The sequence below is a fragment of the Homo sapiens genome, chromosome 4, assembly GCF_000001405.40.
Source record: "Homo sapiens chromosome 4, GRCh38.p14 Primary Assembly".
In the NCBI taxonomy this organism is placed as follows: domain Eukaryota; kingdom Metazoa; phylum Chordata; class Mammalia; order Primates; family Hominidae; genus Homo; species Homo sapiens.
Window position 1 is genome coordinate 26,312,728 of NC_000004.12, and position 15,866 is coordinate 26,328,593.

The window sequence follows — 15,866 nt, forward strand, 5'->3', positions numbered from 1 at the left end:
GCAACTGGTCTGTGTATTCTTTTAGACAGGGAGTCCTTAGAGGCTGGGTTCTTTGTGCTGTCTATTTTTGTAAAATATCAAGATGATGCCTGACCTGCAGTGGTAGGTAATCTAAACATGCTGTTTGAATGAACCACGAGGCAGTTCTGCTGTTTTAATTCTACTAAGATGATAGGTCACATACGTAACTTTTTCTCTGTGTGTATGACAGATGACAGGTTCTCTCTCTGTCTCGCCCAGGCTGGAGTGCAGTGGTGCAATCACAGCTCATTGCAGCCTCAACTTCAGGGTCTCAAGTGATCCTCCCACCTCAGCCTCCTGAGTAGCTGGGATTACAGGCATATGCCACCATGCCCAGCTAATTTTTGTATTTTTTGTTGAGACAGAGTCTCACTATATTGTCCAGGCTGGTCTTGAACTCCTGGGCTCAAGTGATCTGCCTGTCTTAGCCTCCCAAAGTGCTGGAATTACAAGCATGAGCCACCAAGCCGGAACCATAACTTCTATTAGAAAATAATTCTATGCCTGGTGCAGTGGCTCATGCCTGTACTCCTAGCACTTTGGGAGGCCGAGGTGGGCGGATCACCTGAGGTTGGGAGTTTGAGATCAACCTGACCAAAAGGGAGAAACGCCATCTCTACTAAAAATACAAAGAAAAGGCCAGGTGTGGTGGCTCACACCTGTAATCCCAGCACTTTGGGAGACTGAGGCAGGCGGATCACGAGGTCAGGAGATCGAGACCATTCTGGTTAACACAGTGAAACCCCGTCTCTACCAAAAAAAATAGAAAAAGTTAGCTGGGTGTGGTGGCGGGCGCCTGTAGTCCCAGCTACTCAGGAGGCTGAGGCAGAAGAATGGCGTGAACCCAGGAGACGGAACTTGCAGTGAGCCAAGATCATGCCACTGCATTCCAGCCTGGGTGACAGAGTAAAACTCCGTCTCTTAAAAAAAAAAAAAAATTAGCAGGGCATGGTGGCATGTACCTGTAATCCCAGCTACTCGGGAGGTTGAGGTAGAAGAATTGCTTGAACTTGGGAGGCAGAGGTTGTGGTGAGACAAGATTGCACCAATGCACTCCAGCCTGGGCATCAAGAGCGAAACTTTGTCCCCAAAAAAATAAATAAATAAAAATAATTCTACTAAAGTAGAAGGAAACAATTTTATTTGGTAAATTTTTGTCTTCTTGCACATTTATTCCATTTCTTTCTTTTCCCTCCTTTCTATGTTTTATATTTATAGGAAATATATATACATAGTACAAAATTCAAAGGATCCAAGATAGACTGTGAGGAAAGCCACTCTCTCACCTATATCATCCAGCTGTAGAGTCCTTTATAAGAAAGCAGTCATTCTTACAATTTCTAGTGTGTCCTTCCAGAGACATTTTAGACACATATACGCAAATAAGTATATATATATCACTGTTTTGCAGTTTTTTAAACTTTGTGATCTTTCCGCAAAAGTACATAAAAAGCAGCCTCTGCTTATTAATAAATATACTCTTTCATTCTATGTATAATTTAAAAAAAAAGACATCTCTTGATGTTTGTTACCAGTATTTTTTTTTCCACCATCAGTGATGCTGCAAAATATAGGTAATTTTACATGTGTGGGCATATTCATAGGATAAACTTCTAGAAATGGAATTGTAGGATGAACAGGTAGTGACAAATTTTGCCAAATGGTTTCTGATATGCTTTGGATCTGTGTCTCCGCCCAAATCTTAGGTCAAATTGTAACTCCCAGTGTTGGAGGTGGGGCCTGGTGGGAGGTGACTGGATCATGGGGGTGGATTTTCTTCTTGGTGCTGTTCTTGTGATAGTGAGTGAGTTCTTGTGAGATCCGGTCATTTAAAAGTATGTGGCACCTCCCTTCCCCGCCTTGGTCCTGCTGCTCCCATCTAAGTCGCCTGCTCCTGCTTTGCTGTCTGCCATGAGTAAAAGCTCCCTGAAGCCTCCCCAGAAGCAGATGCTGTCATGCTTCCTGTACAGTCTGCGGAACCGTGAGCCAATGAAACCTCTTTTCTTTATTACCCAGTCTTAGGTATTTCTTTATAGCAGTGCAAGAACAGACTAATATAGTTTCCATAGATGTTATATCCATTTTCACTCCCACTAGCAGCTCATGAAGATATCTATGCCAGGTGCGGTGGCTCACGCCTGTAATCTCAACATTTTGGGAGGCTGAGGTGGGCAGACCATGAGATCAAGAGTTTGAGAACATCCTGGCCAACATGGTGAAACCCCGTCTCCACTAAAAATACAAAAATTAGCCGGGTGTGGTAGTGGGCACTTGTAATCCCAGCTACTCAGGAGGCTGAGGCAGGAGAACTGCTTGAACCCAGGAGGGGGAGGTTGCAGAGCACGGAGATCGTGCCACTGCACACCAGCCTGGGTGACAGAGCTAGTCTCTGTCTCAAAAAAAAAAAAAAAAAAAAAAAATATATATATATATATATATATATATGTATGTATATACTGGGGAACCCACCCCCAATTTCAATGTAATGAAATTTCAATGTAAGTTCTTTCTATTTTCCCTAAGTGTTGGCTGGTCTGAGAAATAAAGAGAAAGAGTACAAAGAGAGGAATTTTACAACTGGGCCGCCGGGGGTGACATCACATATTGGTAGGTCTGTGATGTCCACCTGAGCTGCAAAACCAGCAAGTTTTTATTAAGGATTTCAAAAAGGGAGGGGGTGTACGAACAGGGAGTAGTTCACAAAGATCACATACTTCAAACGGCAAAAAGGAGAACAAAGATCACATGCTTCTGAGGAAACAGGGCAAGGACAAAAGCAAAGATCACAAGGCAGAGGGCAAAATTAGAATTACTGATGAGGGTTTATGTTCAGCTGTGCACGTATTCTCTTGATAAACATCTTAAACAACAGAAAACAGGGTTCGAGAGCAGAGAACTGGTCTGACCTCAAATTTACCAGGGCAGGATTTTTTCCCCACCCTAATAAGCCTGAGGGTACTGCAGGGGACCAGGGCATATTTGAGTCCTTATTTCAACCACATAAGACAGACACTCCCAGAGCAGCCGTTTATAGACCTCCCCCCAGGAATGCAATTCTTTTCCCAGAGTATTGATTATCAATATTCCTTGCTAGGAAAAAAATTTAGTAATATCTCTCCTACTTGCAAGTCCATTTATAGGCTCTCTGCAAGAAGAAAAATATGGCTTTTTTTGCCCCACCCCGCAGGCAGTCAGACCTTATGGTTGTCTTCCCTTGTTCCCTAAAATCGTTGTTATTCCGTTCTTTTTCAAGGTGCACTGATTTCATATTGTTCAAACACACGTTTTACAATCAATTTGTACAACAGTGGTCCTGAGGTGACGTACATCCTCAGCTTATGAAGATAACAGGATTAAGAGATTAAAGTAAGACAGGCATAAGAAATTATAAGAGTATTATTAGGGAAGTGATAAATGTCCATGAAATCTTCACAATTTATCTTCCTCTGCAGTGGCTCCAACCAGTCTCTCCGTTCAGGGTCCCTGACTTCCCGCAACATATATATATATATATATTCATATATATACACATTCATATATACATATACACATATATACATTCATATATACATATTCATATATATACATTCATATATACATATTCATATATACATTCATATATACATTCATATATATACATTCATATATACATTCATATATATACATTCATATATACATTCATATATACATTCATATACATTCATATATACATTCATATATACATTCATATATACATATTCATATATATATTCATATATATTCATATATATTCATATATATATTCATATATATATTCATGTATATATTCATATATATACACATTCATATATATACATTCATATATATAATATATATATACACATATTGATATATATATACACATATTGATATATATATACACATATTGATATATATATATATACACATATATATATATACACATATTGTGTATATATATATATACACACACACACATATCCGGCTAGTGGTGTTTTTGTTGTTTTTTTCCTGAAGTTCTAAAATGGAGAGTAAAGGAAACTCTTAAGTGCAGCCTCATCTACTGGTCTAACCCAGACGACTTTTTTTTTTTTTTTTTTTTTTTTTTTGCAAAAAACCAACACAGGTGGTTGCTCCATATGCCTTTTTCTCCTCCCTAGGCAGGCTAGTACTCACTGCTAGTCTAGTCCTAATATTGTTTTGAACCCTAGGAGGCTTAGTCTTCAGAATCATTTTTACTCTGCCCTAAAGTGGAAGACACCCCATTCATTCTACAAATATAATACAGCAGGCATTGTTCCAGCAGCTAAGGCTTGAATAATGAACAAACTAGACAAAAGTCCTTGCCCTTATTAATATTACATTATAATGGAAGGAGGCAGATAGTAAACACAACACACAAGTATGATAAATGTTATGTTAGTTAATGATAGGTGCCATGGACAAAATCAAGCAGAAAGGGGGATAAGGAGTATGGGAGTCCCTCTTGGGAAGGGTGTCAGGGAAGGCCTCCCTGAGGAGGTGACATCAGGCAAAGACAAGAAAGGAGTGAGGGAATGAGCTATAAGGTATATGAGGGAAGAGCATTCCAGGTAGTGGAAAAAGCAAAGGCTTGGAGCTGAAAGTGTGCTTGGGGCATCCCAGGAACAGTAAGGAAGGCAACTGGTGAGAGCCCACAGAGTGAGAGGTAGAGGAGGAGGTGAAGGCAGATAGATCAGGGGGGGTTTGGCAGTAGGCAAGATTGTCTAAGTCCTCATAGTGAAATGGGAAAGTCATGGAGGAGTTCTAGAGGGCCACTGAGAATGCTCTATTAGCACAGACTGCGGGAAGACAAGAACGGAAGAAGGGAGGACCAGTTAGGGAACTTCCTTAAACCAGGTGGGAAATAAGATGGGTTAGACTAGGCTAGTAGCTAAAGAGGTGTGACAGTATTTGGAATGTGAGTATATTCTGAAGGTGGAGCCAATAGGATTTTCCGTCCAATTGTATCTTGGGTGTGAGAAAGGAGGCAAGGACTCCAAGGTTCTTGACATAAGTGGAAGAATGGAGTTGTCCTTTCCTGAGATGGGGGAGGGCTGCAGATGGAGCATGTTTTAGGGCAAAAAGGGGGAGCTGTTATTCCCTTTGTGGTTACCATGGCTTCCCAAGGTCGCTGGGGCTCTCAGAAGGCCATGATTCCAAATTAGATCAGTGGTCTGGACTAGGCCATGACTGAAATACCTTCTTGGGATGACAGCTCCAAGGAATATGTGCCCCAAGGGCTTTGTCCTCCTCCTGAGCTATCCTGTTCCAAGCCAGACTTGCACTGAGATATTGCACCAAATGGTTTTAAGTCTGTTTTTTTGTGTATATAATCAATAGGCAAACACAAACACACACACACGCACACACACACACACACACACCCCTAAAACCTTGAAAACAACTTAAAAACCAGGGTTTCCTATTAGAGAACTCACTGTCCTCCAAATATCAAAATTCAATTCAACTCTACATTTGCGGGGCTGTGACGTGAGCAGGAAGACACTGGTTCCTAGATAATGCCAGGCTAAGGCTGGTATAGAAACCACATCAGGGCCAATCTGAAACGTGGCTGATTGAAGAATTTACGTAATCAGGAACTCATTGGATGAATGATCCAAAAGGAAGGGCTGCATTTAAAACAGTAGTCACTATAGCACCTGCCGCAGCCATACGTAAAATGGAATATTGCAATAAAAATACGGAAAGGTGACGGAAAGCAAAAAAGCCATATTAGTGGGAGGAAAAAACAGAAACTGATTTGTAAGATTACTTCAAAAGGCTAAGAAGAGACTGACAAGAAATTTTAAAAATCGTGTCCTTAAACGGGAGCAAGAATCTATACAAGGCAACAAGGCGAGAGCGCAGAGCTGTTTATTTATTTATTTATTTATTTTTCTACCCAGCTCACAGGGCCAGCGGGTAGATTAGAAAGAAAACAACCAATTGCTGCCAGGCGCGGTGGCTCACACGTGTAATCCCAGCACTTTGGGAGGCCGAGGCGGGCGGATCACGAGGTCAGGAGATCGAGACCATCCTGACTAACATGGTAAAACTCCGTCTACTAAAAAATAGAAAAAATTAGCCGGGCGTGGTGGCGGGCGCCTGTAGTTCCAGCTACTCAGGAGGCTGCGGCAGGAGAATGGCGTGAATCCAGGAGGCGGAGCTTGCAGTGAGCCGAGATCGCGCCACTGCACTCTAGCCTAGGCGACAGAGCAAGACTCCGTCTCAAAAAAAAAAAAAAAAAAAAAAAAAGAAACCAATTGCTAAAGTAGAGTAGCTAAGGAATCAGAACTTGTTTCAAAGTAAGCGAAGTAGTGGCCAGACTAGGTGACTCAAGGCATGACTCAAACCCGACTCTGGAGGCTGTCTGTCAGCTCCCGGAGGCGGGGGGCGCGGTGTCTAACACGTTTTAGGAAAGTACCAGGCTTGTGGAGGGCGACAGGAAACCTCCCCGGGAGATCGGCCTGGGGCTCCTCCTGCCCTAGAGCCTGACCTCTCACTCTCCGTACCGGCAGCGACTTCCAACCTCCTGGCTTCCCCTTCCTCCGTTCGAGGCTCCCCACCCCTCGTCTTCCATCCAGCGTCACAGGGCGTGTGCGTGTTGTGTGCGAGACGCGGGTCTCCTCCCCCGCCGCCCTCCGCCCCGTGCTCCCAGCCACGCGCCTTCCCGCCCCGCCTCCGCGGCAAGCCGCTCCCTTCCCACCCCGCCCGCGCCCGCCGCCCGCCGCCCGCCTCCCGGGCACGCGCTGCACGAACGGCGCCCGGAGCTGGTCTAGGCAAACACCTGTCCTGCCTTGGCTCCGCGAGATTTGGGGCGAAAGCTTAGGCAACAGGGGCACGTTCTCGCGAGGTTTAGGAAATTTCCCACGGCCGTGTTGTGTCTGAGCCGAGTAGTGGAAGGCGGTGGGAAGGAGGTGTAGCGTGAGACTGGACTGCCCGCATTGGGTACATGCGCAGTGCCGCTCGCGCGGGCCGCGCCAATCCTGCAGCGCCTTCAACAGGTTTCGGGCGGCGAATTCCAGTTCTCCGGGTTTTGGGGCTCCCTGCGGGAGGCAGTGCTGGATCTGGGAATCTCTAGGAAAGGAAAGAGCAAAGGAGGGGAAAGATGGGGGGCTGCAGGTAGGAGGAGGGGGCGGGATTCGGGCCCTTCACCCTGCTGTTCCATGCCCGGTGGGGCCAGGTTTGCCCGGGGGCTTCCGGGATCAGGCCGCCTGAAGCGCGATTCGGGCAGCCGGCAGCGTCCTCGGCTGTGCCAGGCCCTCGGGTGGCCCGGTTCCCTGTGCAGTAGTGGTCTCAACACACACCTGGGCTCACACACGGTGGTGGCTGCGATGGGGTCTTAGAGAGGCCATGCAGCACGCGAGCGGCAAGAGCTTTGATCGGGTCCTCTGGGCAGACTCGGAGGTGGGAGAATGTGGCTCTCAATTCCAAGGCAGTTTTCCCTTCTGGAGAGAACTACTCCGCGCTCTGGCGTGTGTCTGCGAGGTGGCCATTAGGGGTGTCTTTGCTAGAGGCCTTGGCTTGACCTCATTTCACACCCAAGGAGAACGCTAAGGCGAGAGAGCTCAACTGCAAAAGTTTTCCGCTTGAGGAGCTCTGGAAGGGCCTCCTCATTAGCATGGGGGGGTGTAATGAATGAAGACAGTCCCCGACGTGTCACTTGCCCGAACCCCAGACATCTCTGGCGCTCCTGCACCAAACGCCGAGATTAGCATAAAGGAGGCGCCCAGGGAACGTTTGAATGAATGAAAATAGCTGGGAACCCAGAGTGAGCGGGAAGCCGCTTGGAAAACACCCATTGAGGAGGTGTTTCATCTAGGCCTGTGAAACGCAGCCCATTTTCCCAGGACCCCTCCTCCCTTCTCCTCGGCCCCGCCTCCTGACCCCTCCATTCCTCGTCCCCGTAGTAATCCCCTCCGGTTTTCCTCAGTCTCCACGTACGTCCCTCAAAGCGCGTCCTAAAACCCGGATAACCGGAGCGCTCCCCATGGACCACACGGAGGGCTCGCCCGCGGAGGAGCCGCCTGCGCATGCTCCATCGCCTGGGTAGGTTTCCAGGGAAGGCAGCGAGCAGGATCCCCTACTCTGCGGGCGGCGCGAGGCGTCTGGCTCTTCGCGGCGGCGGCGAGGGGAAAGGGAGCGCGGGGGCTGGGTGGAATCGAGGAGTGAGGAAAAAGGGAAGGGGCGGGGGAGAGGGACCAGGGAAGGCGTCGGGGGGAATCTCGCGAGGGTTGGAGTTTTGGCGAGAGTTTGTGGAAGATGGCGCCTGTTGTGACAGGGTAAGTCTGAGGGAATCGGAGCGCCGGGAACCGGGAAAGTTGCGGGCGTCTGGCAGCTCACGGCGGGCAGCGGGTTCGGGGGCCGCGGCGCGCTTGGCGTTCGGGGGCCCGCGGGGGCGGCGTCGCGTGCGCCGAGCGCGGCGGCGGCGGCGTGTGGCCGTGCGCTGCCGCTCTGCGCTGCCGTGGCTCAGGCTCCAGCGCGTGAGGGCGGGCGGCGGCGGCGGCGGCGAGGCCGGCGGGTGCGGGCGTGAGTGCGGCAGGGCGCGCGGGGCCCTCGGGCGCCGTGCCTCCCGCGCGCCTCCAGCGGGCTCTGCCTGGGGGCCCCGTGCATCTTTGTTCCTCGCGGCCGTTGTCGCCGCTTCGCCCCGCTAGTGCCCCCGGCCCCGGGCGCTTTGTCTTTCACCGCTACCCGCTGCGACTCTCTACCCCCGGCCCTTTGTTTCGCCGCCTTGGGCGCTTTGTCCGACCCGTGGCGTCCCGCATCCCCTCTCCATCTCCTCCCCTCCGCTGTCCTTCCTCCCGTGCCCCTTTGTTGTGCCACACTCTTGTCGTTAGCCCAGTGACCTGCCACAGCCCGGGCACCAGATTTCTGCCTTAATTGTTCTTCCATTGTCTTTCTCCTGTGGGTCCCCTCTCACCTTTCTGTATGGTCCTGGATCACCCCCCGAGGCTTTGTCTCCCCCATCCACGGGCTTATTCTCTCGGCACCCCCTTCCTCTCCCGTCATCGGTTGATTTATCCACAACCCACGGTGTACGTCTGCTGAACTGTCTCAGCCCCGGGGACTCCATCTGCTGCTTCTAAGTGCACACAAGACTCTACGGTTTGTTGTTTTGTGGGTCTGAAAGATGCATGGGATACTTAGTTTTCTCCTCCGCACCTCTTTTTCTCGGGATTTCTTGTACCCTCCCGCCCCCCTATCGCCACCCCTTTCTCTCGGGATTAAAGCGTCTCCAATTTTCATCGCCGTCTTTTTAGTGCCGTGGGTTGTTTTGCTTGGAAACAGTAGCCTTGGAAAAAGATCTGGTCTCTTGGTGGTTCTTGCGCCCCCCGGCCCCCGCCCCCCTCCTGGTTCCTGACGGCGTAGGCCAAGGGCAGCTGTCTGTCGAAGCTTTGCAATCTAGGCTGCCTGAGGATGATTGGAGGGTATCGTAGGACGGTTAGAAGGAGGCTCAAGATGTATATATGTGTTTTTCTGTTAGTGTTTGAGAATAGTTTCAGATAGCCACAATGGATATTCATTTGGCGTGTGAGTAGGAGTTGAGTGAATTTCCATGTTAAAAACTTGTGAGTGTTGGGGCGGAGAATTTCAGCATTTTCTAGAAATCTGGATTTAGAATTTATCAGTAACTTCTGCCTCATAAGGAAAAGGAGAGGCATTCCGCTTGGGAATTTTATATAAATGTTTTATTTTTTCTTAATCATTAGATAGTTTACAGTTATGTGCTTTTTGCTGCCCTGTAGATGCGTGACAACCCTTCTGTCCCATCATTGGGGTTGAAATGAGGACAGCACCGAAGAGTGCAGTTTCTGGTCGATGAATACTGCTTCTAAGATCTTTGTGGAAGATATTAATCAAATGCAGTTAAAAAGTATACGTATAATATGTATATTATATATATATATACACACACACACGTAATAGCCTGTAGTGAGATTATTTTAAAGACACTTCCTAGTGTTAAAGAACCCTTGAAGTGTTTCGAGTTCTTATTGTTTTGGTAATGCTAAAAGCTTGGGGTTGTGTGAATGGGGGTGGGGGGTGTGGTGTGATGTATTCTAATGACTTGAGTTATTCTGGGTGCTAGGAATAAGAGTTATTATATTTACCAGGATTACTATGCTGAAGGTATTCTTCAAGAGTTTGTTTTTTTTCTACTGGTTGATCTCTACTTTTAGAAGGTATGTTACCCATAAAATCATTTGGAGTGTCATTTCATTTACAAACTGAAGTTCTACAATAGTGAAGTGTTGTTGATAGGGGACATACGAGATCTACTCTAACGAGTATTGGAGCATTGGAAAATACTTTTTTTTCTGGCTGTGATTAGAATTAGTAGTTTGAGTTTTAATTAATGGAAAACCATGTTTTCATGATTGATACATAAGTTTTTTTGTGAAAATCTGCAGTCTGGGTCGCTTGAGTGGGTTTTACCAATAATCTTATGTCTCCCTTACTTGTTCTTGTACATAATCATTGTTTTGAAGGTAAAATCTTGAGCTCACTGGTTCTCTGACTGGGAGCAAAGTGTAAATACTGTGTAGTAATGGAAGGTATTTTGCTCTGACTTGTACCTGTAAGAATGATTACACAGACATGATAAAAGCGCTTTTACCATTTGAGTTGCGTTTTTCTTTCTAAATCGTGTAATACTTTTACTTACATGATTGGTGAAATAAAACTGCTTTTAATTAAATTATAACAGCAGCATATTTCGAAATCTGGATGCGTTGTGGCTGGAGAACTTTCATTCTGAGTATTAACTGTTAAAGCTTTAAATTTTATTATCCATGCATATTGCTGATGGATCTGTGAGTATATTTTCAGAAAACAGGAGACTTGCAATATTTTCAAATCTGTACTAATACACACTTGTAGGCATTAGATTTTAAGCAGTTAGGTTTGTTAAAAAGTTATCTGTTGTCCTATACCAACAGATTTCTATCAATGTTTTTTTTAAGTGGGTAAGATCAAAATTGGTTTGGTTGACAGGCCATTCTTGCCAGATGTAATTCATTAAATAACCTTTGGCACCCTTGATGGGTAAGGCATTAGGAAAAAATTGTTTCGTTTGAAAGTTATTATACATCTCATTCTTCTGTTCATTTTTAGAAATAAGACCCAGGACTTGGCTTTAAAGCATTATTTTGCATTTTGCTTCCTCCTAATACTAAATTTCATGTTATCTCAACTAGGGGCAGTATTTTCTCATGGATTGACTAAAAGTTGTTATTTTTGGCATCTGGCTTTGTGATTATTTCCAAGTTACTCTACTTCCCCTGGGCCAGTTTCCTAACTATGTAGTAAAATGGGAATTATAATAACTTGCCACATCTGCACAGGATTGCTGTGCCTTAAGATTCGCAGAGAGCATCCTTGGATGAAAACTGTGGGGAAGGTCTAGGAATTGTTACTGAAATAAGCTAATGTGAAGTAGGTCATATTTTATAGGAAGTCAAATAGGAGGTTTTTAAGTTCTTGGCAAGACACAGTAGCGATAGTGGGATTTTTTAAAATCCCAAATATGTATTATAATATGGGTAATAAAACAGATACCTTTATTCCTGCCCCCCATAAACTTATAGGGAAAGGGACAAATAAAACAAATTACAGGGTGATGTGTCGTGTGTGAGTGTGTGTGTGTGTGTGTGTGTGTGGTGTAAGAGATTGAAGTTCTGTCAAACTCAAATGTAATAACATTATAAAATTATGGGATGCCTTTCCTCTTTTGTTTTCTGCATGTAGCAATATTCTATTTATTTATTTTATTTTATTTTTTGAGACAGGGTCTCACTCTGTGGCCAGGCTGGAGTTCAGTGGCACAATCTTAGCTCACTGCAACCTCCACCTCCTGGGTTCAAGCGATCCTCGTGCCTTAGCCTCCTGAGTAGCTGGGATTACCAGCGTACACCATCATACCTGGCTAATTTTGTATTTTTAGTAGACATGGGGTTTCGCCATGTTGGCCAGGCTGATCTCAAACTCCTGACCTCAAGGGATCTGCCCACCTTGGCCTCCCAAAGTACTGGGATTACAGGGGTGAGCCACCATGCCTGGCCTGCATGTAGTAATATTTAACAAATGGTAGTACAACATGCTTTCACTGGACTCTAAGCCAAGTCTGTTAATAGCAGTGATTAATTTTAAATATGCCTTATATTTTTTAGTGCTTTGTTATTTGCTCTTAAGAATAAATTCTAATAACCATGACTATAATTTCAGATTTGACTCTTGGCCTTAGAAAAGTGTTTTGCATTTGAGGAGCACTCTGTAGATACGTATTGACTGAATGAAACCTGTTGCTTCTCTGTTCTTGGTAGATGATACCATATTCCGTTTGGTTCCCAAAGCCACGATTCCTAATTCCTCTCTCACCAGCCTTTACATTTAATTACTGAGAACTGATCATTTTTCCTTCTAAAAAATCTCTTGAATTTGTTTCCCTTATCCTCACTGCCGAAGTTCATGCTGTCATTTCTCACCTGGTTTACTATGACGTACTGACAGCCTCTTTCTGCTTCTAGAGTCACCACCTTTATCCAGCTTCTACATGTAGCAGAGCAGTCTTTCTAAAGAGCAAATCTGATCACTGCTTAATCTAAAAACCTTTCAATGGCTCCCCCTAGCAGCGTTCATTAAGAGAGGCAACAGAGTGGAGGGTTATGAGCTCACATTTAGTGTTTAATCTGAACTGGGTTCCAATTCTGTCTCTGGCACTTAAAACCCCTGCCAGTTAAAACCCCTGTAACATTGACAAGTTAATCTCTTTATCAATTGCAAGATAATTATTCCTAACTCAGAAAGTTGTTGTGAAGATTAAATGAGATAATGTATGAAAGCATTTAGCAGAATTCCTGGCATGTAGCAAGTGCTCAAAAGATGTTAGCTACTGTGGCGCATAGGATCCTCCATAACTATTTCATCTGTCTCTTCTCCAGCTGAGTTGTTTGCCATTTTCTCTCCATAATCAGTGCTTCAGTCATATTAAAGTATTTTGACATCTCTGCATGAGCCCAGCAGTTTAATGCGTTCTTGTGTATGAAAAGTAATGATCCTTAGTAGGTTATTTCTCAAGACTAAGGGAATATTCTAACCAGATCTACCAGACTACAGTTGGTGCCTGGCTGTATAAATACTGTATATTTAATACAGTATTAAATGCTGTATATAATTCTCTTGGAAGCATGATACTAAGTTGTAATTATCACACCCAAATATTGTCACTTGGTGGCAGGTATCATTTATATTCTTATACTTAGAAGATTGTCTATCACATGATAGAGACTCAGCAAAAAGAATTTTTGAACATAGGACTCAGTGCTTTGAAATCTTGGTGCAACATGGTTCATGTGGCACAATTTTAAAATTGTGTGTGTGCTTGTGTGTATACAGTATATGTGTGTCTAATTCATATATATGTATAATTTATATATAGGTATTTGACTTTGGTTCTGTAAGGAGTAATTGCTGAAGTACCCAGAGGAATTGATATTTTCAGCCACAAGCAATCTCATAGCCCCTGAGAACATTATAGTAAGGCTCTTAGGCAAAAGTTTTTTTTTTTGATTATTAGAAAATACTACATTATATTTGTATAAAACTGACAAGTTTAAATTTCACTTTTGTTTTTTATATGATTGGCTGTCAGTGTTTATCAAAAGATTCCATTATTTTTAACTGTTTTCAGTACTAGATGGCTAGGGATGTATGTTAGATTAAACCGTAGAACACTGTAGACTGCTTTTTGGGGAATCCATGCCATAGAACCAAATAATAAGTTGATAATTTACATGGAGACTCAGGTCTCATGGACATATTACTGACAGATAATTTCTTTAAGCTTCAGGTTCTACCTCTATAAAATAGGGGATGATAATTATATTTTATCTGTCAGGCACATTGTGACTGTCAAATAAGGTAAATTTTGTGAAATAAGGTCAAATGAAACAGTGTATGTGTAAGTGACTTGTAAACAGTAAAGCGTTCTATACAAATATTTTAATTACTATAAGAATCAGTTTCCTCTGGTAACCTTTCATCTTGAGCAGGGCTCAAGATGGACTTTTTATACTGCAAGCTGTGGTTTTGTGGGTCATGTTTTAGGAAGGCAGCAATGTATTTGGTGCAGAGGACCGCAACCCTTGAAATATGTGCTTTGGCATTTTAAGCAGACATATTTGTTAAATTACTGCTTGACCACGAATGTTGTCATTGAGTCACCCCCAGCTTTTTGGGGTCTATTTCTTACTGCTCTCTTCTCTGCTTGGGCAGCTGTAACAATGTAGGAATGTTGAATGTCTAGCTGCTACTATCTCTCAGACTCTTATCCTGCCCACAGTTCTGTATGCCTCTTAGGCCTGGCACAACATCATGGTGTTGCTTATGCCTCATTAGACCTGCTGCTTAAGGGAATTAAATGATACCCTAATGGTCTAAAAAGGGTAATGTATTTCCGAACATGTCATATTTACTGTAGGAGGTTGGGGAAGGCGTCACAGGCACTGTAAGTGGTAGTAATTACCTATCCGTATAGATATTTGTGTAATTTTGTTGTGTTGAGACAATGCATAATGGTAAGTTTGAGAGCTTTTCAGTCATATTGGTGAAGTTTACGGCAATCTTGGGAATATTTATACTATTTTAAGTTTACAAAAAATAAAATATAGAAAACACATTTTTTTAATGCATTCTGAGTTGCAAAAGCCTTGCAATGAAAACTGCATCTATTTGATGTGAAGCAGAATACACTAGAGAATCAAGTTGACCCTGGAGGTTTTTTTTTTTTTTTTTTTTTTTTGTATTCAGTAGTCTTAGCCTAAGAGCTAATGATTATCTGTGCATTGTTAATGAGATGATAATCAGAGTTGTAAGTGATAAGAGTAGTTTCTCATAAAAAGTTTACATAACAGGAGAAAAAATATTTAATGTTGGGCGCAGTAGTAGCTCAGGCCTGTAATCCCAGCACTTTGGGAGGCTGAGGTAGGAGGATGGCCTGAGCCCAGGAGTTTGAGGCTGCAACGAATGGTGATCATGCCACTGTACTCCAGCCTGGGTGACAGAGAAAGACCCTGTCTCAAAAAAAAAGTTTTTCACTCTATAAAACTTTTTTATAAGTATGATATTGTGTTATAGAAGTACAGTATTGCTTTATGAAATATAAATGTAATATTGTAGTTTTTTTAAAATAATGTGAACAGTCTATTATGGACATAGCTTAATTTCCTCCAGTACAAACTAGCTTTAGACTGGTTTGCATAAATAGAACAAAGGTATATGTTCCCTTTTGGAAAACTGCAGATCTGCAAAGATTGTGCCTGATTTTGCCAGCATGTTTTTTCACATCTTTTTTTTTTTTTAATTTGATAACATTTTTCATGCAAAAAATTACCTAGATCTGTACAAAGCTCCTAATCCATACACCATTTGGAGTAAGCAGAAACACTGGGGTCCTAAGACATGTAGGAGGGGTGTTAAGGAAAATGTTAATAGTATAACCATGCTTTAGTGGCTCTCCTTTTAGTATTGTTTTAATAACAATATATTTATTAAATAAGCAGTTGAACACTTATTAGGTATAAGACACTCTTTGTGCTGGTCCTATAAAGATGGCTAAGAAATGGTTTGGTGAAGCTCATGACTTGGTAGAGTGTACACAGGTAATTATTGTGTAAGGGAGATTATGGTAAGTGCTGTAACCGATATTTAGTGTTGGTGGGAACACAGATGTAAATGATTATCTTCATTTGGAGTTCATAGAAAAGGTGAGAGTTGATAGGGAGTGATGGGAAATTAAGCTGGAAAAGTAATTGGGAGCCTCTTGGAAG

The 15,866-nt window shown here is 43.7% G+C and overlaps 1 protein-coding gene across 17 annotated transcripts in view, besides 6 other annotated features; it reads left to right on the forward strand.

Moving 5' to 3' along the window:
- RBPJ (recombination signal binding protein for immunoglobulin kappa J region) overlaps nt 1–15,866 on the forward strand; it is a 329,683-nt gene that overhangs the window by 207,279 nt on the left and 106,538 nt on the right. For 3 of the 17 annotated variants that reach the window (NM_001379407.1, NM_005349.4, NM_001379408.1), the window contains exons 1-2: nt 7,019–7,161; nt 7,973–8,088. The exons of 2 other annotated variants lie outside the window; for them this stretch is intronic. Coding sequence is in view for 6 of the 15 variants with exons in the window: in NM_005349.4 (NP_005340.2) it covers nt 8,030–8,088 (59 nt within the window). In the remaining 9 variants the exon portion in view is untranslated. Of the gene's footprint in view, nt 1–7,018; nt 7,162–7,972; nt 8,089–8,286; nt 8,322–8,500; nt 9,145–9,438; nt 10,224–15,866 lie in introns of those variants that run through there. 12 more of the 17 variants (NM_001379406.1, NM_203283.5, NM_001379409.1 and 9 more) reach the window with 7 other exon arrangements.
- Nucleotides 6,321–6,370: an enhancer, noted in NCBI's record as "active region_21395". NCBI's record gives its function as "activates an Ori minimal core promoter by ATAC-STARR-seq in GM12878 lymphoblastoid cells {active_cell/tissue: GM12878}" and the evidence as "EXISTENCE:reporter gene assay evidence [ECO:0000049][PMID:35858748]".
- Nucleotides 6,591–6,860: a silencer, noted in NCBI's record as "silent region_15335". NCBI's record gives its function as "represses an Ori minimal core promoter by ATAC-STARR-seq in GM12878 lymphoblastoid cells {active_cell/tissue: GM12878}" and the evidence as "EXISTENCE:reporter gene assay evidence [ECO:0000049][PMID:35858748]".
- Nucleotides 7,461–7,510: an enhancer, noted in NCBI's record as "active region_21396". NCBI's record gives its function as "activates an Ori minimal core promoter by ATAC-STARR-seq in GM12878 lymphoblastoid cells {active_cell/tissue: GM12878}" and the evidence as "EXISTENCE:reporter gene assay evidence [ECO:0000049][PMID:35858748]".
- Nucleotides 8,331–8,460: a silencer, noted in NCBI's record as "silent region_15336". NCBI's record gives its function as "represses an Ori minimal core promoter by ATAC-STARR-seq in GM12878 lymphoblastoid cells {active_cell/tissue: GM12878}" and the evidence as "EXISTENCE:reporter gene assay evidence [ECO:0000049][PMID:35858748]".
- Nucleotides 8,531–8,630: a silencer, noted in NCBI's record as "silent region_15337". NCBI's record gives its function as "represses an Ori minimal core promoter by ATAC-STARR-seq in GM12878 lymphoblastoid cells {active_cell/tissue: GM12878}" and the evidence as "EXISTENCE:reporter gene assay evidence [ECO:0000049][PMID:35858748]".
- Nucleotides 8,743–9,664: an enhancer, noted in NCBI's record as "NANOG-H3K27ac hESC enhancer chr4:26323092-26324013 (GRCh37/hg19 assembly coordinates)". NCBI's record gives its function as "activates a minimal SCP1, AML or CMV promoter by ChIP-STARR-seq in primed H9 embryonic stem cells {active_cell/tissue: H9 hESC(primed)}" and the evidence as "EXISTENCE:reporter gene assay evidence [ECO:0000049][PMID:30033119]".